We start from the raw sequence: 24,605 nt of genomic DNA, 5'->3' as shown, positions 1-24,605 counted from the left end.
ATTTCGAGAGAATAGAATGCCCTCAAAAAAACAATAAATCATAAAAATGGCTTTATAACAAAGTAGATAGAGCTCTGACCTTTTATTTACATTTTTCTCTAGTGGGTTTTGTCCTTAATAAAAATTACCAGGTTAAATTAAACAGGAAATATGAGAAAGATGCTGAGAGGTTATGTGAGATGTCAAAGAAAGATGCTAAGTGGGTATGTCTGGTCTTTTTCCCTGAAAATGTTCATTAATCCTTTTATATTTAAATCCCAGGATGACAAATTAAAATTTATAAGGGGAAAGAATTAGAGACACATTGCCTGTAGGTAATCTACAAGTGCAACTAAATGTGTATCTACTCAAAATTCAAGATGACTATTCTTTGTTCTGCGTGTTTTTTTTGTTTTTGTTTTTGTTTTGTTTTGCCCCAAAGGCCAAGGCCTGTGAAGATACTGCTGCTTCATAGACAAATGTGCACACCCAAGGCTTTCTTTGCTGTTCTCTGTAGATAAGAAAGCTTTTTCTATTAAATAAAACCAATGCTGCTGGCAAATTTTACACTTGGGTCATTTGACTCAATTAGCTGAGAAAAAAACTAAAATTAATGTTTCTAGGAGCTTATCATTTTTAAACTATGAAGCCAGGTTTTTTTTTTTTTTTTCAGGGAATTATAACCAGTTATAAGAATTCTGGGGTAGCAATTTACATGAAATGAATCCATTTGGCAAGGTGAAGCTTTCCATTTACATCAGTTTGTCATCACATTTTTATATTCTAGTAGACAAATATTTAAGAACATGTGAAAAAGGCAAGGTCTTGGCTTAATCAACCATAGACTGTAGCATATATAAGACCAAAGAAAGACCAGAAACAATCAATTTCAGAGTTGCCATTGATTTTTGAAGAAATGGTTAATTTCAAATTTTTATTTCTTTTCATGAAACACATACTCTCATAAAAGACTTCATTATAGAATACTTAAAACTTTGTCAAATTAATTCCATTTTCTTAGTTAATTGTTTTTTTAAACCTCACATGTTAACCACTTAGCAAACTCCAACATGTTGATAGAAATAATTGGTGAAGGAAATCAATTATAAAAGTATTGTGGAAAAATCCTATGGATAATTTTTTCTAATTTCTTGTCTAGGCTTTTCTGTGGGTTTTCCACAATCCCTAGGGCTAATGTCCACAGCATGCCTCTCTTCTTAGTGGGGTGAATTCTCGAGCTCATCATTACCCTATCCAAGATTCTTGATTTTTCTTGCAACAACTTCATTTTATTTTCTGATTCATTATTTAGTGTCTTTCCTGAAATCTCAATATTAATTCTGGTGTTCTCAAGTTTTCCTTGGCTTGTGACCACATCCCTTCAGTCTCTGCCTCTGTGATGACTTTGCCTTTTGTTTTTTCTTTGTCTGTGCCTTCACCTTTTCTGTGTGTCTCAAATATTCCTTTGCCTCTGTGTTATGAGAAACTCATCACTGGATTTAGAGCAAACCAGATAATCCTAGATAAGCATCACCTCTAAATATCTTTAACTTAATCATCTTTTCCCATAAAAGGTGCTATTCACTCTTTTACCATATAGATAATATTCACAAAGTCTGGGTATTAGAATGAAGATATATCCTTTTGAGGACCACCTTTCATCCCACAAAACCTTGATACCAAAACTGGACAAAGCCATTATTATAATGAAAACTATAAACCAAGATCCCCATGAAATTAACTAAAAAATTCCAAAGAAAATTTTATAATTTGAATATAACAATATATAAAAAGTATATTATGATTAAAAGTAAGTAAGGTTTATCCTAGGAATTCAAGGCTGGTTGAAATATGAAAATCAATCAATACAACTTGCCATATGAATAGATTTTAAAACTTTATGATTGTCTTAATAAACACAGAAAAAGTATCTGACAAATCTCAACCTCTATTCCTGAGAAAACCACATAGCAAACCAGAAATGTTAGAAAAATTCCTCAACCTGATAAAGGGCACATACAAAAATATCAACACTCAACATCAATACTTCATAATGTAAAGTAAATACTTTCCCCCTAAGGTCAGAAACAAGACAAGGTTGTTCACTTTCCTTACTTCTGTTCAAGGATATACTGGAGGCTCAAGTCCATGCAATAAGGTAGGAAAAAGAAATGGAAGGAAACAAGAATGAAACCAAGGAAGTAAAACTCTCTTTATTCACACACAATATTATTTATCTATTTAGAAACCTGTTTATCTATCTATTATCTATCTATTCAAAGACCATATCTATCTATTTGGAATCTATTAAAAGGCTGCCAGAACCAATAAGTAAATTTGGAAAATTTTCAGAATACAAGGTAGCTACATAAAAATTCAATTGCATTTCTATATACTGGCAATAAGCAATCAGAACTTAAAAGAAAAACAATGTATAATAAATTCAAAATATTTGAAATATTTAGAAAAAAAACAAAATATGTGAAAATCCTGCATGCTGAAGATGATAAAACATTGCTGACAAAAATTAAGAAAATCTAAATAAATGAAGCTACCTTCTATATGAGTCAGAAGACTCAATAATGCTAAGATATTAAATATTCTCCAAATTGATCTGTAAAGTCAACATAGTCCTAATCAAGATTCTAGCAGACATTTTCTGTATGAATTGTGACACAATGATTCTAAAATTCATATGAAAATGCAAAGGTCCTAGAATATCCCTTAAAGACTTTAAAACAGAAGGACAAACTTGGAGGTCTAACATCACCTGATTTCAAGATTTTTAAGATTGTGTGATACTGGCATTAAGATAGACAAATAGATAAACAGAATGGAAAATTCAGAAACACACCTACACATATATATATACAACTGATTTTTTAAAATAACTATGTAAATTTAGAAGAGAAGAAAACTCTTCAACAAATGATACTAGAATAAACATTACATGCAAAAAAATGAACTTCAATCTATACCTGGAAAACTATATAAAAATTAAATAAGATGGGTCATAGATGTAAACATTAAAAGTAAAATCATAAAATTATAGAAGAAAACATAAGACAATATTCTGTGATGTGGATTAAGCAAAGAGTTGTTAGATAAGACACCAGCAGACAAGACGTAAAATAACAAACCTGTAAATTGGTTCTCTTTGAAAGAGATTCATAAAAGGATAAAAAGATGAGCTACAGATTGGGAGAATACACATGCAAAGCATATATCTGATTTTAAAAAATATCTCTTGTCAGGGATATATAAAGTTCACTCAAAACTCAATAATAAGAACACAAACAACCCAATTTGAAAAGGTTGCCAAGGATTTAACAGTCACTTTACCAAGGGTGATACATTCACGGCAATTAAGCATATGTACAAATGTTCATTAGCCAGGCATGATGGTTCATGCCTGTAATCTCAGCTATTTGGGAGGCTGAGGCAGGAGAATCACTTGAACCTGGGAGGTGGAGGTTGCAGTGAGCCGAGATCACGCCACTGCACTCCAGCCTGGGCAACAAAAGCGAAACTCCATCTCAATTTAAAAAAAAAAGGTTCAATATAATTACTTATAAGAAATGAAGATTGAAACTATAATGAATACAACTATACATCTATTAGAATGGATAGAACTGAAAAAAATACCATACCAAATTTGGAAATAAAAAGAGTAAAGGAATACTCTTATATGCTGCTGGTCAGCATGTAAAAGGGTAAAAACCCTTTGTAGGAATAATCATATGGCTACTATGCAATCCAGCCATTCTGCTCTTGGGTATTTACTCAAGAGGAAAAAAGCACATTATACAAAGATGTGTACATGAATGTTCATAGCAGCTTTATTAGTGATACCCAAAATATGGAAACAACCCAAGGGCCATAAACAAATGAATGTATAAACAAGATGTGGTAAATCTATGTAATGGAATATTATTCCACAACATAAAATAGAACTATTAATATATACTACAACATAAATAAATCCAAAGTAAGTATGCTGAGTGAAAGAAGCCTAGTAATCCCCCCACAAGAGTATATACTATATATACCGGGCAATTTATTGATATAAATATCTTGAAGATGCAATCTAATCTATAGTAAAAAACCTGTGATTGCCTAGGGATATGAGAAGCACTAAATGAAGAGACTGCAATAGAGCACTAAGAAATTTTTTGAATTTCTTAATTGAGATGCTATCTTAATTGAGATGCTGTTTCACAGGTGTATAGACACGTCAAAATGTACTCACTAAAGTGCACCTTTTAAATGGGAGTAGTTTGTTGTATGACAATTATGCTTCAATGTAACTGTTAAAAATGATAATTACATAGAGAGCTTTGCCATGATCAGCCCTTCTTCTTTCATTCACGTCTCCAAGCCAAACATGATCCAGAGTTAGACTTAAATTAGCAGATCAACATCAGTGAATAGTAAACTTTCCCTTTTTCAATCTTCTACTACACAAGTGATGAAGTCCTTGTCTGACCAGGAGAAATTTCATAATACAGCTTCTTTAAAAGCCAATTTTATTATTTTTAAAACCCAAAATATTTTATTACATTTCTGATGATAAACTATCCTCTATTTTATCAAACTATGATGATGATAGGTAGTATGTATACTTATATTTATTTATGTAAAGCTATATATTGATCTTGGCAAATAATATCATCAAGCTTATGTAAGTCCCTGAAAAAGTTACTCATTCATGACTTTCCAAAGTCTGAGAACCACTGTCCTAAAGCAATTACTCACTTTATTTGGCATTGTATATTATATATTCTTCACTGCCATGCCTCTTCTCCCAGAGAGGAAAAGAGGTGGGAGAGGGAGGGAGAGAGGAAGGCCAAAACATTATCTCTCTGGAGTAAGTGTAATAGAATGGAAAACAGAGGGAAGAGTAACTCCACTCAGTAGAAAACATGATCCACTCAATATTCTAGAAATTTCTGACCCACAAAATTAGCAACTCTTTATTTTATTTAATTTTTTTATGGTGGGGTCAAGTAGAAAGTAAAAGTTTTACATCCTCAAGAGAGATTTTAATGATTGACTATTTAGCCAAGGGAAGATTTATGTGCCAGGCCTTGCTTGAAGTCTCTATCTTCTTCTCTAACCTAGTAAACTGAATTGAACAAATAGAAACAAACTGCAATGTCTTCCTAAACTGGTGAATCTTTACTCAGGCCTCACTTCACCTTACCTCTCAAAAGCAAAAGTTACATCTATCACCATATTGTACCCTTCCAGATCTTACCACTAAGAAGGCCATGACAAAGGGCCTGAGAAATAAAATAGCATGAGAGTGGACATTTACTCCTCCAAACACAGTCCTCTCAGCTCCACCACCACTGCAGTCTGGAGAGCACTGAGTGCCTGATGTTTACTGAGGTTCCTAAGAGGGTAGGAGAGAAGAAAAGGGAATGTGAAACTAACCCAAGATTTTAGGAAACAAATTGGAAGTACTAAATGAAAATAGAGAGATATAACTCAGGTATGCTCTTCAGTGTATCCCTGGCCAGGTGTGTATTCCAACCAATTGGAACCCTGGGTTGGGAAAGTAAAGGGTAAGATGCCGTTTATTTTCATTTCTCTCTACCTCTGCTTCCTACACTTACTCTGGGACTCTAAGTTACCTCTTCTGCTAATCTCACCTTAGGCAGCCTCCACAAATGGACTGTTCCCTGGTTAAACTTGTCTCAGATATGGAAAAAAATGTTGTCATGTTAGTCAAAGGTTGCAATTCATCTTTCACGAGAAAAGTAAAGAAAGAGAAGCATTGATAGGCACATATTTTGGAACACGGATTTTTTTATCCTACCTTAACTCGGCCTGGCCACAGATGGGATGACTGGCACCAGTCATGAGGCACAGAACCAGACTCCTTTGCACTTGGGCTTACACAAATCTCTTTTGCTCCACTCTTTGGACATTTATTTCTCTCTCTTAATACTTTCCTTAGATGCCTCTCACTCCAGTGGTAAAATGAAGGCCTGGATAAGTAATAATTTCAGAAGGGGCAAGTTGCAGTGTTACTTCCTTGGCACATTGATACAAGTTTCTGATCCTAGAACATCCTCTTTCCATTTATGGTAAGAGAGCTTTTCCTTAACTATAAATAGGAAGTTGGGAGAGCCAAGTTAATTTATATTGCACAAACTGTTTTTATCTGATGCAGTTGAGTGCAGAGATACTTGGAATCCATGTTGATTATGTAAATTGCTTATGAATGCCTAGACAGAGTTTGTGGGCAAGCAATGTTTTCTCACGAAAAGGAAGGTTTTATAGTTTTGCTCTTTCTTTTTTCCTAGAACTACCTACAGAATCAACTGGGAACAGAGCCACACCCTTTTTTCCCCCAAACACAAAACCTTTGATTCTTTTCAGAATAAAATTTGGCAAAGCAAAGAGTGAAAAAGCTTGAGAAAAGCACAGCCAATCTAGTTTAAGGTAAGTGTAGCAAACATGAAAATCCCCAGCTTATTCCAAGAAGGGTTTCTTTCCATAGGCTATACCCTGCAAGGTCTGAACTGCCAAGTGTAGGTATTTGGATTTCATCTGTGAGAAATAAATAACTTTTTGAAGGGTTATAAATTGGAGACAGATATGAAAAATTTGGCGATTGAAGAAGATGAACCTGGCAACAGTATACAGATGGACCCTGGAGAGGGGGGAGTGGGTTAAAGTATTTCCACATTCCACAAAAGCCCTCTAGCTTTCCCCATTAATATGAATTCTTTAGCAGTTTGCCAGGTGCCACTTGCAGGAGGCCTATCATTGTCCTGCCCTCCCTATCCAGCATCTAAGTGTGCATCCTTCTGACAGCACACATCCCCATAGGGAATTAGGCAGAGAAAAATATATCCATCCACTTGGGTGGATATATTCACATTGTAATACACTCTATCTGAAAGTGAGCATTTTATAGTATATAAAATGTATATTTAGTTGCATTTCAATGACAAATGGCATCCAGGTTGTCAAATGATTTAATACAAGATGTCCTCATTAATTCATCTCTGTGTCTCTGTGTTCATAGCGCATCTACGCTCCTGGTGTGCTTTTGGCAGCATAATTTATTTAATGCAACTTTCCCAGGTGTCGATATTCCTCCTACAAAAACGAGCTTCTCAAAAGTGCTTCAAAAGCACTTTACTGTTATCACCTCAAATCCATATTCTCATTGAATAACATCTCTTTTTTTCTCAGTCACCTCCCTTAAATTTCCCATCTTCAACTCTGCATATTTGTTGAAGAAAGGTAACTTTTTTAGTGTGGGCTCTGGTACACATTGTGGATACATGCCTTAAGATACTGGCTTCATACTCTAAGTAGCATCAAAAATTGGTCTGTTTCCTCAAATCTCTCCTTGGTCAGCTAAAGTGCTAAAAGTAGTCACTAAAAGTTATTCCTAAGCATTGGAAACTGACTCAAGGCAATCTGATTGTGTCTAACTCTTGGGCTGTTTTTGGAGGCAATAAGAGCTACTGAACTATGTAATGCCCTGTGACAGTTAGCTCCATTCAGAACCTTGCAATCAGAATTACACTGAGAACCAATTATAGACCAAATTTTGCCACATGAACAATGTTTATTTAAAAAACAAAAACTCCTTTATTTGTAAGCAGGCACACACTATTTCCTTTTCATGTTCTGTAAATTTGCAGTTCCTCAATTTCTTTGTGATACTCTATCAGCTTGCCTGAAAGGTCCACACAACACACACATACTTCCAGAGGTAGGATTCTGTTACTCTTATCATCATCATGTAACTATCCCTTTTCACAAACCAATGGCAGGACCAAATAGTCTCCAGTTCCTTTCCTAACATAGAGACTACTCTTCTGACTGAATTTCTATGCTCTGTTTTTAAACAGTGGAAGTGATTCTATATTTTTTGGTCAACCACATACCTTGAATACCTTGCAATTTTACCAATTAACATCTGTTTTTATTATTTACCAACATAATTACCGAAGAACTAATTTATTTAATAAAAACGTTCCTACACTCACCAATATAACTTGCATAAAATGAGGTGTAGCTCAATATACCTTGGCATAGCTGCTTCTAGAATTTGGACTTTTTCATATATTGCTGGCTATCACCCCTGCCGTGTGGATTCTCAGTGAGGCTAACCGGTCCTGCAGCTGAAGCTTAAACTACTAACAGACATAATATCTCACTGTCTATGCCAGATTGTTTTTTTTATGTTTCAGTGTTTTATTTGTAAATGTTTATATATTTAGGGGATACAAATGCAGATTCTTACATGTATATATTAAATAGTGATGACATCTGGATGTTTAGTGTATCCAGCACACTAACAGTGAGCATTTTACCCAATAGGTAGTTTTTCAAACCTCATCTCTCTTCCACCCTCCCAACTTTTATAGTGTCCAATGTCTATTATTCCATTCTGTGTGTCCATGTATACCCAATATTTAGCTCTGACTTATAAATAAGAACATGAAATATTTGACTTTCTGTCTCTGAGTTATTTCACTTAGGACAATGGCCTCCATTTTGCAGCATCCATGTTTCTGCAAAAGACATGATTTTATTTAATTTTTTTTTAGACAAGTGGCTTAACTTTTTTAAACTTTGTGCCAATTCTTTTAACCCTTAAAGCTAGATAAAACCTTTACGTGCCCTGAACGTAGCTTTCCCTTTCCATTTCTCTTTTTTTTTCTTGTCTGGGGCAGCGGAACCACAGAAGTGATTAGTAAAAAAAAAAATACTTGTGTTGAAAGTGGCCTTAAAATGCTTGTAATCTTACACCTGAATGCAAATCTCCCCTCTTTACAAAAGTCCGTTATGAAAACTCAAGTATGAAATCAAAATTTTAAAAGGAGTAGAGAAGGAGGACCATTCTCTATACTGCTTTTCCATGCATATTTTTTAACATATTGTCCCCCCAACATTTTTTTTTTTTTTTTTTTTTAGCAAATGGTCATACCTCTGCTGTTTTCACATTTTTAGAAGATGTTTTTAGAACACATTTTAACTCAGTCTTACAGATAATGTTCATATTTTAGGGGCCCACATGTTTTATCAGTTTGTTCTTTTCTGAGGAAACAGTTGAGGAAGAACTTTGCTATTCTTCTAACCTAAATTATGTCTGTCATGAGGTTAGTGACTTTGGCAGGCAGAGGTAAGAAGTCTGAAGCCTGATTACTTGGTCTCAAAGTGAAGGAAATGGAGTCCTGAACCAAATAAATAGGTAGTGAACGTAAATTAAAAACATGAAAAAATTATTCTGAAAGGTGCAGGTTGAGTAGTAGTATTTTCCACCTCTGGCTGGTCTACCCTGTAGAAACTCTGCTCTTTATTATATATCTTTCTTAATAGTTTCTTATATATCTGTCTAGTGTTTCTTTACGTAAATGAAAATAAATGTGAATACATGTTCTTACTCCTCTCATATGCGTGTACATGAAAGGTAGCTCATTATATAAACTGTTTTGTAACTTGCTTTTTGTCCTTAACAGTATGTCTTGGGAATCTTTCCTTGCTAGTACAGAGAAAGTTGTCTCATTCTTGTTTTCTAAAAACTTCTATTTTAAGTTCAGGGGTATGTATATGTGCAGGTTCATTACACTGGTAAATTTGTATAAACATCATACAGGCTTATTGTACAGATTATTTAGTCACCCAGGTATTAAGCCTAGTATCCATTAGTTGTTTTTCCTGATACTTTACTTCCTCCCACCCTTCACCCTTCAATAGGTCCCAGTGTGTGTTGTTCCCGTTTATGTGTCCGTGTGTTCTCATCACTTAGCTCCCACTTGTAAGTGAGAACATGCAGTATTTGGTTTTTTGTTCCTGTGTTACTTTGCTAAGGATAATGGCCTCCAGCTCCATCTATGTTCCTGCAAAGGACATCTCATTCTTTTTTATGGCTGCATAGTATTCCATCTATAAGAAACTTAAACAAATTAACAGGGAAAACATCAACCTCATTAAAAAGTGGACAAAGGAGATGAACAGACACTTCAAAAAGACATACATCAACGAACAATCAAATGAAAAAAACCTCAACATCACTGATCATTAGAGAAATGCAAATCAAAATCATGAGATACCATCTTACACTAGTTAGAATGGTTATTATTAAAAAGTCAAAAAATAACAGATGCTGGCAAGGTTGTGGAGAAAAAGGAATGCATTATACACTGTTGGTGGGAGTGTAAATTAGTTAATCCATTGTGGAACAGAGTGTGGTGATTTCTCAAAGACCTAAACCTGAAATACCATTCAACCTAGCAATCCCATTACTGGGTATATACCTAAAGGAATATAAATTGTTCTATTAGAAAGACACATGCACACGTATGTCTGCTGCTGCATTATTCACAATAACAATGGTGTGGAATCAACTTAAATGCCCAACAAAGATAAGCTGGATAAAAAAAGTTGTACATATACACCATTTTAAAAAATAACTGAGTAGTATTTCATGGTATATGTATATCCCTTTTTTTATCCAGTGCTCTGTTGATGGACAAAAGTTGATTCCATATCTTTGCTATTGTTAATAGTGCTATGACAAACATAAAAATGCAGTTATCTTTTTGATATGATTTCTTTCCCTTTAGGTATATACCCAGTAGGGAAATTGCTGGATTGAATACTAGTTCTATTTTCAGTTATTTGAAAAATCTCCATATCGTATTTTTGTAGAGGTTGTACTAATTTACAGTCCTATAACAATGTAAAAGCATTCCTTTTTTTCCACATCTTTGCCAACATATGTTGCTTCTGACTTTTTAATATGGCCATTCTGACTGGTGTAAAATGGTATCTCGTTGTTTTAATTTGCATTTCTCTGATGATTAGTAATGTTGAACATTTTTTTTCTTGGCCATTTACATGTTTTCTTTTTAAAAATATCTGTTTATGTCCTTTGCCCACTTTTTAATGGGGTTATTTTTTGTTTCTTGTTGAGCTGTTTGAGTTCCTTGTAGATTCTGGTCAGATGCATAGGTTGCAAATACTTTTCCCATCCCGTAGCTTGTCATTTACTCTGTTGACTGCTTCTTTGCTGTGCAGAAGGCTTTTAGTTTAATTAAGTCCCACTTGTCTATTTTTGTTTCGGTTGTGTTCACTTTTGGGATCTTCATCATAAATTCTTTGCCTACGCCAATGTCCAGAAGTGTTTTTACTAAATTTTCTTCTAGGACTTTTATAGTTTTAAGTCTTACTTGTAGGTCTTTAATTCATGTTGTGTTGATTTCTGTATATGGTGAAAGGTATAAGTCCAGCTTCATTCTTATTCATATGGCTATATAATTTTCTCAGCACCATTGATTGAATAGGGTGCTTTTCTTTTGTGTATATTTTTGTTGACTTTGTTGAAGATTAGTTGATTGTAGGTATGTGGTTTTATTTCTATTGTTTTTTCTGTTCCATTGATCTATGTGTCTATTTTTATACCAGTACCATTCTGTTTTGATTATTATTGCCTTATGGTATAATTTGAAGTCAGGTAATATGGTGCCTCTGGTCTGGGTTTGTTCATTTTGTTTAAGACTACTTTATCTATTCATGCTCTTTTTAGGTTCTACATATGCATTTTAGAATTTGATAGAAATTGCATTGAATCTGTATATTGCTTTGGATAGCATGATCATTTTAACAATGATCATGATTCTTCTAATCAGTGAGCATGAGATGTTTCCCTGTTTGTTTGTGACATCTAAAATTTTTTCCATTAGTGTTTTGTAGTGCTCCTTATTGAGATGTTTTCCCACTCTTGGTTAAATATATTCCTAGGTTTTTGTTTGTTTGTTTGTTTGTTTTTTGTGTGTGTTTTTTTGGGGGGGACATTTTTCTGTATCTTTGTGAATGGGATTGCCTTCATGATTTAATCCCAGGCTAGAACATTATTGGTGTATAGAAATGCTACAAATTCCTGTTTCCTAATTTTGTGCCCTGAAACTTCACAAATTTATTTATCAAATCTAAGAGTATCATGGTGGAGTCTTTAGGATTTTCTAAATGTAACATCATAAAATCAGCAAACAGGGATAACTTCCTCTTTTTTTTCAATTTGGGTGACTTTTATTTTATTTTTTTCTTGCCTGATTGCCCTGGCAAAAACTTTCAGTACTATAGTCAATAGAAGTGGTGAAAGTGGGCATCTTGGACTTGGTCCAGTTTTTAGAGGGAATGCTTTCAAATGTTTTCCATTAAGAATGACGTTGACTGAGGATTTGTCATATATTGCCTTTATTATGTTGAAGTATCTTCTGTCTATGCCTAGTTTGTTAAGGATTTTTATTATAAACTAATGCTAAATTTTATCACATGCTTTCTCTGCATCTATTGAAATGACCTATGATTTGTGTCCTTAAATCTGCTTATGTGATATATCACACTTATTGATTTGTGTATGTTGAACCATCATTGAATCCCTGGGATAAGATCCACTTGATTATGGTGTACCATCTTTTTGATGTGCTGTTGGATTCGATTTGCTAGTATTTTGTTGAGGATCTTTGCATCTGTATTTATCACGAATAAGGTGACACTGGCCTTGTAGAATGAGATAGGGAGAGCTCCTTTCTCCTGGATTTTGTGAAAAAGTTTCAGGAGGACTGGTAGTAGTTCTTTCTGCATGTTTGGTAGAATTTCACTGTGAATCCTCCTGGTCCTGGGCTTCGTTGTTGTTGGGAGAGTTTTAAATTACTATTTCAACCTCACTTTTCATTACTGGTCTGTGTAAGAGTTCTCCTTTTTCTGGTTTAATCTTGGGAGGTTGTATGCTTCCAGGAATTTATTGGTTTCCTCTAGGTTTTCTGGTTTGTGATCATATAGTTATTTATAATAGTCTCTGATGATCTTTGTGCCTCTGTGTTATCAGCTATAATGTCTCCTTTTTCATTTATGATTGTGTTTATTTGGATCTCTCTTTTCTATGCTACTTACTTGAGAAGAAATCTGCTCTGTCTGGTCACAGGCCCAAGGCACAGTTTTGAGAGTTTAACACGGGGCTGCATTCCACCCTTGGGCCAACTTCAAGAAATTAGAAAATTAACTCAGGATATTAATGAGAAATGTATCAAGGAGATGGGTATCTTATAAAGCAAAAGCAGAAAATCTAAACCTAAAAAAACTATTGAAGGAAATGCAAAATGTATTTGAAAGCTTCAATAACAGAATAGATCAAGCAGAAGAAAGAATCTCAGAACTTGAAGATAAGTCTTTTGAAATAATCCAGTAAGACAAAGATAACGACAACAAAAAAGTATAAAAGGGAGTGCACAAAGCCTTTGAGATGTCTGGGACTACATAAAGTGACTGAAATTAGAAATTATTGGTATTCCTGATGGGAAAGAAAGATTATTTAAAAGCTTAGAAAACCTGTTTAAGAAAATAATTGATGAAAACTTTCCACATCTAGCAAGAGAGTCAGACATCTAGTTACAGGAGGCCCAGCAATCCTCAGGAATATACATTGCATAAAGTGCTTCATCATAGCATATTATATTCAGAATGTCTAAAGTCAAAGTGAAAAAAAAAATTAATTAGCAAAAGAAGAGTGACTAGTCACCTTTAAAGGAAACCCCATTAGAATAACAGCAGATATTTCAGCAAAAACGTTACAGGCCAGAGATTATGAAATCTCTGGTTCCTTTAGTCCTTCATGCTATGGGGGATAAACAATGTGTTCAAAGTAGCTATGGGCTGAGAAGTCCTTGTACATTGAGTTGAAATACACACACACACACGTGTGTGTATGTGTAATTCCCTGGCTAAGAGCTTAATGACAGTGCCTTTCTCCTTCCTCATCTTCTCTGTTTTATAAAGAGTTAAGAAAAGGGCTTCTAAACCTTGTTTACAGAGTTCACCTTTTCCCTCACTTGCTGCCAACTGAACTCCAGGGTGGCAAGTCAGCAATCCCATCAGTCTTCATTGAATCAGAAGGCTGATTATGTAATTAGAATGAACTAAACATTTGAGGAACCAAGTGACAGAAACTGGCGAAAGTGTCTTACAATAACTTTTACTCTGTATTACATGCAATGCCCAGACCATATTTGGAATTATTTTACTCTGCATTCAATCCTGTCTGAAGGTCAGACACCTCACTTCTCTGAACCTGAGATAATAGATCTGGTATTGCTCACTTGTGATTAGGGACAAACAACCCCAGTGTCCATTGCCTTCAGCAGTACATCATTCCAGCAAACGGCAAGGATGTTTTTGTACTTCCTATAGGATAAAGAGTAGAGAAACTATGTTAAAATTTCACAATCTTTATTCTCCTGTTATACCTCCACCTTTGGCAAAACCCTATTAAAACTTTTGTTTTTCTATCTCTTTTATTTTCTCATCAAAGACACAAGTATCCACTCAAATAGCTTAGGGAACTTACATTTTGAATGGCAGATAATTTCTAAAGGAAGAAGTTTTAAGCATAAATGCTTAAATGTTATTCATTCTCTCATAGTGCACTGTACACAATTTGAGGAGAATAAACAGCAACTTGATTCCAAAAATGGTCATAATTTATTGATCTTGTTGTTCTAGGAAGATGGAAAAGCACCCACATGGCAAAATCTCTAAAGTTTTGGCTCAAGTGAGCTTTCCCCAAACTTTCGCTATCACTCTCATGACAATGATGTTTGTGTCTCTCCTTAATTAAATCTGCATCACTTTCTATCTGGAATTTGATCTGCTTTTCCACCATCACTTACAGGGATTGTTTCCTTTAGATATAAGTGGTTTTCTCCCTTTCAGATATGTTTCTATTTTTTTTTTTTTTTTTTTTTTTTTTTGAGACGGAGTCTCGCTCTGTCACCCAGGCTGGAGTGCAGTGGCGCGATCTCGGCTCACTGCAAGCTCCGCCTCCCGGGTTCACGCCATTCTCCTGCCTCAGCCTCCCGAGTAGCTGGGACTACAGGCGCCCGCTACCACGCCCGGCTAATTTTTTGTATTTTTAGTAGAGACGGGGTTTCACCGTGTTAGCCAGGATGGTCTCGATCTCCTGACCTCGTGATCCGCCCGCCTCGGCCTCCCAAAGTGCTGGGATTACAGGCGTGAGCCACCGCGCCCGGCCGATATGTTTCTATTTTAAAGAGTCTATAAATTTTAGCATTGCCCTGAAACACAATACTGGGGCTTATGGCTTTTTAGTGTTGTCGTTGTGGTCAAGTGTTAAGCCTCTTAATGTTTTTTTGCCTAGTTTGAGCACATACAGATTGGGGCTTGCTGAATCCCCATTTGTATCATTCACTCCACAGTAGAAGTCTATGTCATCATTTCTCATGGTACTGGAGGCATACTCCTGGAATGATACTTGAAGTCCACTTTAGTCAAGAAATACTCAAATGGGTGATTACACCTAAAATGTAACAGAGTAGTACTAGTTTATTATATAACTTTCAACTGAATTCCTCCTAGGAGACAGCACCATGCATTCAACTCTGCTGCCTAAGGGAGAAGATCCCATTTCTTAGGATTCTTAATGACTCTGACTCCCCATGGGGGAACTTATTTTTAGTGTTCTATGGATATGTTCACTGGAAAAAAAATTTGTGCTAAGCCCAAACCTATAAATTGCATCTTATTACAGTCAAGTCAACATGACCAGCTACCACTATCCAATTCTGTCTAGCTTGATATGTATTTCATCTGACAACACTAGTTGTATCACTTCCCCTAACTAAATTTTATTTTTTATAAAGTAAGTTATAGAACTCTTGTTTTGGCCACATCTGGAAAAAAAAGCCATATGTACATTTCTGAAATTTCTCTATGATTGCTCACTCTGAAACAAATAACTCAGATTTTTGAACTTCCATTGACAAAATCTATAGGTTTCTTACCTATTTGTCTTTGCACTCATATGTAGATTCAAGAACCTAAAAACTGTGATTAGTGGAACAATATGTAGTACTTAGTAGGATCCACAAGTGTCTGCCTTGAAGACTGAATCAAGAAGCCCACCAAAGTCTTCACTTACTTGCCACAGTGACCCTTGACAAGTTCAGAAAAGTAGAGGGCCTTGTTTCTATATTGTCCACAAAATGTCCCTTCTGGAATCTGTTTCCTAACAGAGTCCAAGCTCAGACTTGAAACCCATTGGTTAGTATTTTTTTAATTATGTGCTAGTTCTTCATAAATATCTCAGAGCACACATTGTACTTGAAGAGATCTTTAACCCTCAACCATTGGTGGATGTGGTAGTCACTGAAGAAATCTTTACAATTAATGTAAATCCCCACCTGTGTCAACATACCACACATATTTCAAAAAGGCTCAATAGAATATGTGCCCGGTCAGGGACAATTTCAAACTAGTTTCTCACCTGGCAATCTGGGGTGTGAAGTTACGTCTCACGCAATGCCCTGCCAATGACAATAATTCCACCTGAGTGTACACTAGAGACTTCAAAGTTCATGTCAGCTACTACCTTTTCCACTGGTTGTTAAGGATTACCTACTTTGCCAATCACTAACTGTGTGATCTTGTTGTATCATATCTAGGGTTACCAGATTCGGGAAATAAAAATGCAGGGCACCCAGCTAAATTCGAATGCAGATAAGTACGCAAGATTTGAGACATATTTAAACTTAAAAAAATTTGAAATTCAAATGTAACTGGATGCCCTGTATTTCATCTGACAACACTAGTTCTATCACTTCCCCTAACTAAATTTTATTTTTCTCATCTCTAAAAACACTGCCTCATGTGAACTGCTGTACACATTAAATGCGTGCCTGGCTCAAAGCGTTTTGTAATCTATAATTAGTTACATGTTATCATTGTCATTATTGCAATTATTCACCTATCCAATCTTTATTTCCATTTGGCTTATGTTCAATCTACTTCCAAATGGATCATTTAAATATTTTAATATTAATATACTTATTTTTTAAAAGGGGCCCAATATTGCTCTTTGTTGCTTTTTAAGACAGAATTTTAAGATTGTGTTTTGGTGTCTATGGTCATGAGAACATTTTCCTTTCAGTTCCTCCTGGCATTGATGGATTGCCTACATCTGTTGTACAAACAATCATGGTGAAACAGTAGGAAATGTTGTTTCAACTTGACTTTACTCCCTGAAATACTCTAAGCATATGGTGAGGTGGCAAGAGTATGGTCCCAGGGTGGGAATTTTGAGAGACAGAGGGAGCCTATATTTTTACATCACTCAGTTGGATCTGTGGAGCCTTCATTAGCAAAATAGTCTCAGGAAAAAGTACCAAAATAGTCGAGTTCCTTCCCACCCCCAACCATACCTGAGCTAACCAAATATAGGAAGTCTTAAATGCTACAAATCAGATAAATACATTTTACTAAAAGTACATTTTTATGGCCAGGTGCAGTGGGTCACACCTATAATCCTAGTACTTTGGGAGGCCAAGGCGGACAGATTGCCTGAGGTTGGGAGTTTGAGACCAGCCTGACCAACATGGAGAACCCCATCTCTACTAAAAATACAAAATTAGCCGAGCATGGTGGCACATACCTGTAATCCCAGCTACTCAGGAGGCTGAGGCAGGAGAATCGCTTGAACCCAGGAGGCAGTGGTTGTGGTGAGCCGAGATTGCACCATTGCACTCCAGCCCTGGGCAACAAGAGCGAAATTCTGTCAGAAAAAAAAAAAACAGTTTTAAACATATTTTTAAATAAGAGTTTATGTTTTGGGAGAATAGAAAGAAACATAATAGGGAAAACAATCTAGAATGGTTGGCTTTAATCAAGGTACTAAGCAAAGTTCCACACTCTGGACATTTTTCAGATTTCAACCTAAAACAAAATGAAAGCCCTTCACATAATCATTGAAGGTCTAAATAGAAATAAGGAAACTTAATTATTAGTATTTGAGTCCTTTGTAGTTTAATAGGCCCTTAACATATAGAGCTTCCTTTGCAAAATTATGCAAATATGTCTGCTTCAAAGAAAATAGAAAGATCGGGCATCCTCTTAAGAGAGACACACTGTGACTTTGTCAAGTGTACAGCTCCTGGGACAATCTTGATTATCAATAACAGCAGTCCAACTTAAGCTATCTAGACACTGGAGTACCTCATAAAATCAGTACCTCTGTAAGAAGGTCAGTGTTATAACCTGGTTTCTGGGAGAACTAGTCCCAGGAACTCACTCACTGCTGCTACTCTCAGTGTCCTTCTCATATCTGATTTCTGCATGTTAGCCTCATTCTCTTCTATTGTAGACATCTTGTATTTCTTCAAATTGTAGAAACAAGGCTGCTAAAAGCACGAGAGTTCTTCTTGAGAGAAGACTGACTATGATAATTGTGTTTTAAAAATCCTATGGAAAAATTCTGGCCCTTTTTCAATCAACTGTGACTAGCAGAAAAGTCTTATATTTAGGCATCCATTTCTCTACTAGAAAATTGTAGTTGATGGTTACAATTTTATAACAGAAAAGACATCTTTAGGAGATATCTCACAAAGGCTGAGTGAGGAAAGAAATTGCCAGAAAGATATTTCTACTCATAGAAAATGGGAAGGAATACTGAGTTGGCAAACCAACAGGTATTCACTACAGAAAATTGACAAAAATTAATATCAGACACAAAAGTAAATTACAATTCCGGTATGTGCTAAGTTATAACACAGAAGCTTGGTTGGAAAGGGCCTTTTTGAGGAAGTGTCATTTAACTTGAAGCAGAGAGAAGAGTGGATAAAAAAAGTATTCCTGCCAAGGACACAGTGTGTGAGACGGCCTTAAGGGAAAAAAGTACTCAATGTTTTAAAAAACAGTGAAAACACAAGGGTCACTGTGGCTTAGGAATGTTGAAAACATATAGAACAACTGGAAGTCATGCCAGCATGGGAAAAAATGTGTTCACTGGAAGCCAAGTTAAGGATTTTGTATTTTTTTTCCTCAAGTGAAATGGGTTTTTATTAAAAATATTTATAGGACCCAATGGATGTTTTCATAAATTATATCTCACAGATGAGAATTTAGGGGCCATAGAAAGATAAAAGTAGAAGATAAGAATAAAAAGAAAAAAGTTTATAGGTGGGCTAAGGTGGGAGCTGAAGACTGAAATTATCTAGTTACTGCCTTTGCTATGTTGCTAGACCAATTTTTTCTTCCCTTTACCATGTTGAAAATCACCACATGGAAATCTATATTCAGCCAGACTGATGAAGCTTAACATTTCTTATATGTGCCCACCTGTTCCATGCTCACGAAAACAAATGTAAGTGTATTGTTAGGACACTAGATTGATCTGCTATCTAAGTAAGTAAAAAATAGTAAGTTTGGAAAGGCCTTTCTGTAATAATTTTTTAATAAAAATAACCATGTTAGAGGAAGTTTGAAATGCTTATGAGAATTCATCCATCCCATTGCCCAATTTTCAGTGAGACTTCACCCAACATCTGTAATAAAAGTCTGCCATATTAAAAGACATCAGAGAAGTCAATGATATGAATTAAATGAACAAGCAAATGGTGGAGATACTGTCTTCATTTTTTGTTATTAATGAGTTTGAAAATATAATTTGCTTGAGATAAGCTTAGGACATAGCTATAATGAAGAGCAGCAAAGAAATAAAAGTACTCCTGCATATATAGACTGAGCACACACCTGATATGGCATTGAATCTACATATTGCTTTTAAAATACACTGGAAAGGAAAAAACAGTCAAATATTACCAATTAATTTTTTTTTAAACATATTGACCTTCAACCAATTTGATGTAATCTTTTTTCCCCAATTTATTCACTGGACAGTTAATTTTCATCATGCATAAATATATTTATTTAATTATCACAATAAGTTCACCAATGAAATATTTTAGGGTACTATATTTTCATATCGTAAAATGTTATATGTTAATTAAACTAACTAAAAATATAAGGGATAGACTAAGGTATTCTGTTGTATTAAGACACCTAACAATTATTCAGTGACTTAAGAGATATACTAGTCTGTTTCTTAGTCATGTAATAGTCCAGGTTAGGTGTTCTTGGCAAGTGGGTTGTTCCCTTTTTGTCATGATTCAGAGACACAGGGGAACGGTGCCATTGCCATCTGCAGAAAATGACTTCATGATTGGCCATGCCCTGGTCATCTTAGCCAGTAGGGAGAGAAAAAAGAGTATGGCAAGATATCCAAAATCTGAAAGGCCACATGTCAATTCATTTACATAGCAACGCTTTGTTGCTAAGAGGGCTAAGATATGCAGTTTGCAATAACACAGCTGAATCTTAGTCCAACTCCATAATTTTGAAAGAACGTGGATTTTGGTGGACAACAGTCTTCATTATGTGGTTAGAAGAATAAAACTTCTAGAAGAATATAATTTAAATACCTTCAGAAAATTAACATTTAAGGCCAATCCTCACCTCTGTTGTGGGTTTATGGACCCCTATCACCTTAGCCAGCAGATGAACAAACAGTGACAGCTATGAGAGCAGGTGTTCCTTTATTGGAGTGGCTGTCAACTCAGACACTTAAGGGCTCTGTGATCTTGAGTGTTCTCATGACAATGTTTACCTCACAGGATTATGGCGTGAGTTTAATGATGTTAAATAATATAATAATGTAGAACAAATGCCTTGGGTTTAGAGCAAAGTGAGACCTCAACAGGTGAGATTTTCTGCCACTTTTTTCTATCTTCTGCCCAGAGTGGTTCCATCTTATGTTAGAACCAGATTTAGACAGATTCAGACAACATAGAGCTTCCCCTCTCAATCTCCAACAAATTTAGGCATTAGAATATGTTGGCATATTATGTAAGATTTATAATTATATTGGATGATATTTGGCATTATCTGTGGTCCTAAGGGAGCCACACACACTAGGGGAAGGATCACTTTGTCTTAGCCAGGTGCCTAGAAGACACCATGCAGGAGTCTCTGGACTCATAGTCTGGGGATTTCTTACCTCTGAGGAAAAATTCTTATCTTTATTTGTAGAGTACTCATATGAAATGGAAGGGGCATGACAACACAGAACAAATATAAATGAAAGAGTGGGCCTTGTGTAGTAAACTTCCTCCACCAGACAAATACAAAGAGAAAATGGATATGAGAGACCCACTAGCAGGTGTATTTGTCAGGGCTCTCCAGAGGCAACACCAGTAGTGGGGGCGGGGAGAGAGAGAGGAAGAGAGAGAAATTATCCGTAGGGCAGGCTGCTGACAGGCTGGAGATTGAACTAAGAATTGAAGTTACAGTCTTGAGCTAGAATTCCTTCTTTTGAAAATCTCAGTCTTTGCTCTTAAAGGCCTTCAGCTGATTGACTGAGACCCGTTCACATTATCAAGAGTAATCTACTTTACTCAAAGCCTACTGATTTAAATGTTATTAAAGCCAAAAAATAGTCACAATAAGAAGTAGACCATTGTTTGACCAAGCAACTAGGCACCATGGCTTAGTCAAGTTGCCACATAAAATTGACCATCACAATATGAATGGCCTTCTTACACACAGAAACCTAACACTTGGGTGTGCATGGCCCAGTCAGTGCTCTGGGATTCGATCCACCAGTTAGTTAGATACCTTCTCTTGGAAAACAGAAAGAAATGCTAGAAGAAAGTTTAACCCTCCCTCTTCCACCCAGGGAATAGTGTCTTTCATTTTCTTTTTAGACGGGAGTAGGTGATAGGGCTACTAAATAAAATTGATGAGGAAAGAGAATCAAATCTAATAAGGAAGGATAATCCTTATTAGGCATTGCAGAAAAATATGAAACTCAATTTTATAACTGGTACATCCTAAATAAATAACATATGTGTATTTTTATGGAGAGAAGGGTTAATATTTAATTTTAAACTTACTCTTGTCAAAAGGAAGCAAGAAGGAACTAGGTTACCAGTTCTGAAAACATGCTAAAATGAAAACAATGTAATACATCTTTTGTTGTATTTTTATAAGTTTGCTCTGAACAGAATTGCTAAATATTTTCTGATAAATCGTACAGGAAATTGGCACCCTTTAAATCTTCTGAGGATCCAAATAGTAATAGAATATATTAGAATGAAGCATGGTTGCAATTTATAGTAAGCATCAAAGACAGAATAAATTCGTTTTAAATGAGGGAAGTTTGTGAAATAATTAAACTACCTTTCTGAGTAGGAGCAAAATAATTTAAGTTCAGTTCTATAGACTAGCATATTCTTTTGTTCATGGGGGTTGAAATTTTATGGAGCTATAAACAACAAAGGGAACTGACAACCTGTAATGTGTCTAAAAGAGGGAGAACTGGATCTCTATATAAATTGTTAAAAATAAAAAGTAGTTCACACTTTTGTATACTTATTTTGCAATTATTTTGAAAGTATGGAATATGTTGGGCTCTGATATGTAAGAGAAAAGCTCAACCCTAAGAGCTTTTCTAAGAGCAGCTGGTCACAGACTCTGGCTGGGAAAATATTCTGCAAAATAATGAGTCACCTTTTGTCAACCCATGCAATTAAAATGTGTTTTCTGCTAAGATGCAATGGTTTTGATAATAAAACATTTTATTAAGGCACTTCATGGAAAAGCAGGTGTGAGGCTAAAGTAAGTGTTTCAAGCTTCTTTATTGTTTTTCCTCTGAAAGAATTTTAATAAATAGTGGTTGTTAAGAAAGCTATAAGAATATAATTCTAAAACCCAAACATACCAGAAGAAATCCAACACTGACTATATCTCTCATTTGCTCAAGAGTAATGTCCTTTCTTTCCCTTTTGCCACCAGCACTATGGCTAGTCCATATCCTACATATTTTGTATTCCCTTAATCATATTATCACTATTACAGAGATAAACACAGCAACTGTGCTTAGGGTTTGCACAGTGTTAGTTCCACTTGCCATTTCTGTCAAAGCAACAACATTTCATGTAATAAAAATCACATACATTCTCAATTCCAAGTTGAAAAACAATGCATTGCAGAGATAAATTTATATATGTGTATATATATACATATTTGTGCACATACACTCATATATTTTTCTATGCTAGTGATACCTGTGCTTTCAACAGCATTTACTCAAGTCTGAAGGAAGAGCATTCTCACTGAACCACCCCGCAAAAGTATGCCCCAATATACTCTCGGGCAATACACACACACACACGCACATGCATACACATACACGCAACTTATGTTTTTATATAATCTAACTAGTTAACTTCTTTTTATTATTTTATTTCTTTTGTCCCCTGATTTCTTATTTAACACTTTACTCTCTGGTTTGTTGATTTTTAATAGTATACTTTAAATCCTACCTATTGCCTATACAACAATCAATAAGTTTATTGTACTTTCTACTTCAGCACTCAGCCTCCAGCAATTCATCAGTTAGAGTTCATGCTTTTCTACCCCTGCTCTAGTTTCAATGGAGGTTTCTGTTCATGGGTTTCTGCTTCTAATAAGTTGTGATTTTCTGTATCCAGCCTGTCTGTCTCTCCAATTTTGGGGGCAGCAGTTTGTCCTATGACCTTACCACCCTTACAGATTTAAGAAGAGTTGATTTTTCAGTTTTTTCAACTTTTTACTTGTTAGGATTGAGCAGTCACTTCTAAGCTTCTTTCATGCTGGACTGGAGACTGTAAGTCCTGCTTTATGTTTCTACAGGGAAAAAAATAATCTTTATCAGCTGAAGTGTGCTAAAACATATTTTCTGATGTGTTACAGTAATTTTGTTTAGATTTATTTGTCTTCTGTTTATTCTGTGGATTTGGGGTGGTTTATAAAATTAATACTTATAATGGCATATTCTTCTGTCACGGTATGAAAGTCTAGAATCTTTAGTGATTTTCATTTTACTTTTTATGATTGAGGGAAAAACTGGTGTCCTCCAGTTTGTTTGTTTGTCCTTTTTTATCTTGCATAGCCCTACTATCTCCCCTTTTGCTTTTTCTCTTGCCACTTAATTGACAAAAGATGTTTCTCTCTCACTTTTGGTCTTTTTCTTCCCCAGGAGCTCTGGGGGGGCTGCCATGTCAGGTGACACACATTATTAAATTCTTTCCCTACCATATATGCTTTGACCTACCAAGATACATTTTTAGTGTTCAGATTTAGAATGGAACTACTCTTTCTGATTCTTGTTTTTAGATCAACGTTAGCCCAATCACAGCTTCCCTCTTGTTTCTTCCCTCCACTTTTCCTCAGATTGCTCTCGTTTGATCTCAAAGTCTTGTGCCATGGCAGGCTCATAAAAGAACTTCCCAGAGTTTGGTGTTTTCTTGTTTGTTTTCATTTGTCTTTCTTTCTTTTGTGATTACAGTTATTTATTTAAAAATTAAGCCATATTCTACCTTCAAGTATGTTGAATGCATTGCTTGGTGTAGTTTTGTTTCTTTCTTGTTTTTCTGTATTCATCTATAGGAAATATTGAAGACACAGACATAAGTTCCACTAGTTCTTCAGCTTCTCCTTTCACTCCTCTTTTCCATGAGAAACTAGAGTCCAAACACTGTCTGGAGGGGTACCCTTTAGAAGGCATTACCCAAATGCTGCCCAGTCTGAAGTTAACTCTATATAGGACACCACAGGCTAACTAGGTCCAAGGTAAATTTGCCTTAAAATTCTCCTTATTAGACTTTTTTTTTCAATTGTTACCTTAAAAATATATGCTCCTCCAAAAGTGAGGAAACAGATGGTTGAGTCTTTAGGAGGCAGACCTCCTGCCTTCAAGATGCCCA

At 35.4% G+C, this 24,605-nt stretch overlaps 1 long non-coding RNA gene across 1 annotated transcript in view; it reads right to left on the bottom strand.

Annotated features, from left to right (window-relative positions):
* Nucleotides 1-4,999: 4,999 nt before the first annotated feature.
* LINC00907 (long intergenic non-protein coding RNA 907) overlaps nucleotides 5,000-24,605 on the bottom strand; it is a 504,759-nt gene continuing 485,153 nt past the window's right edge. The window contains exons 8-10 of the long non-coding RNA NR_046174.2: nucleotides 17,459-17,578; nucleotides 14,112-14,196; nucleotides 5,000-5,374 (exon numbers count right to left, since the gene is read on the bottom strand). This is a non-coding gene — a long non-coding RNA (long intergenic non-protein coding RNA 907). The remainder of the gene's footprint in view (nucleotides 5,375-14,111; nucleotides 14,197-17,458; nucleotides 17,579-24,605) is intronic.

The sequence above is a fragment of the Homo sapiens genome, chromosome 18, assembly GCF_000001405.40.
Source record: "Homo sapiens chromosome 18, GRCh38.p14 Primary Assembly".
Lineage (NCBI taxonomy): Eukaryota > Metazoa > Chordata > Mammalia > Primates > Hominidae > Homo > Homo sapiens.
This window is presented reverse-complemented; position numbering and strand designations above follow the sequence as displayed.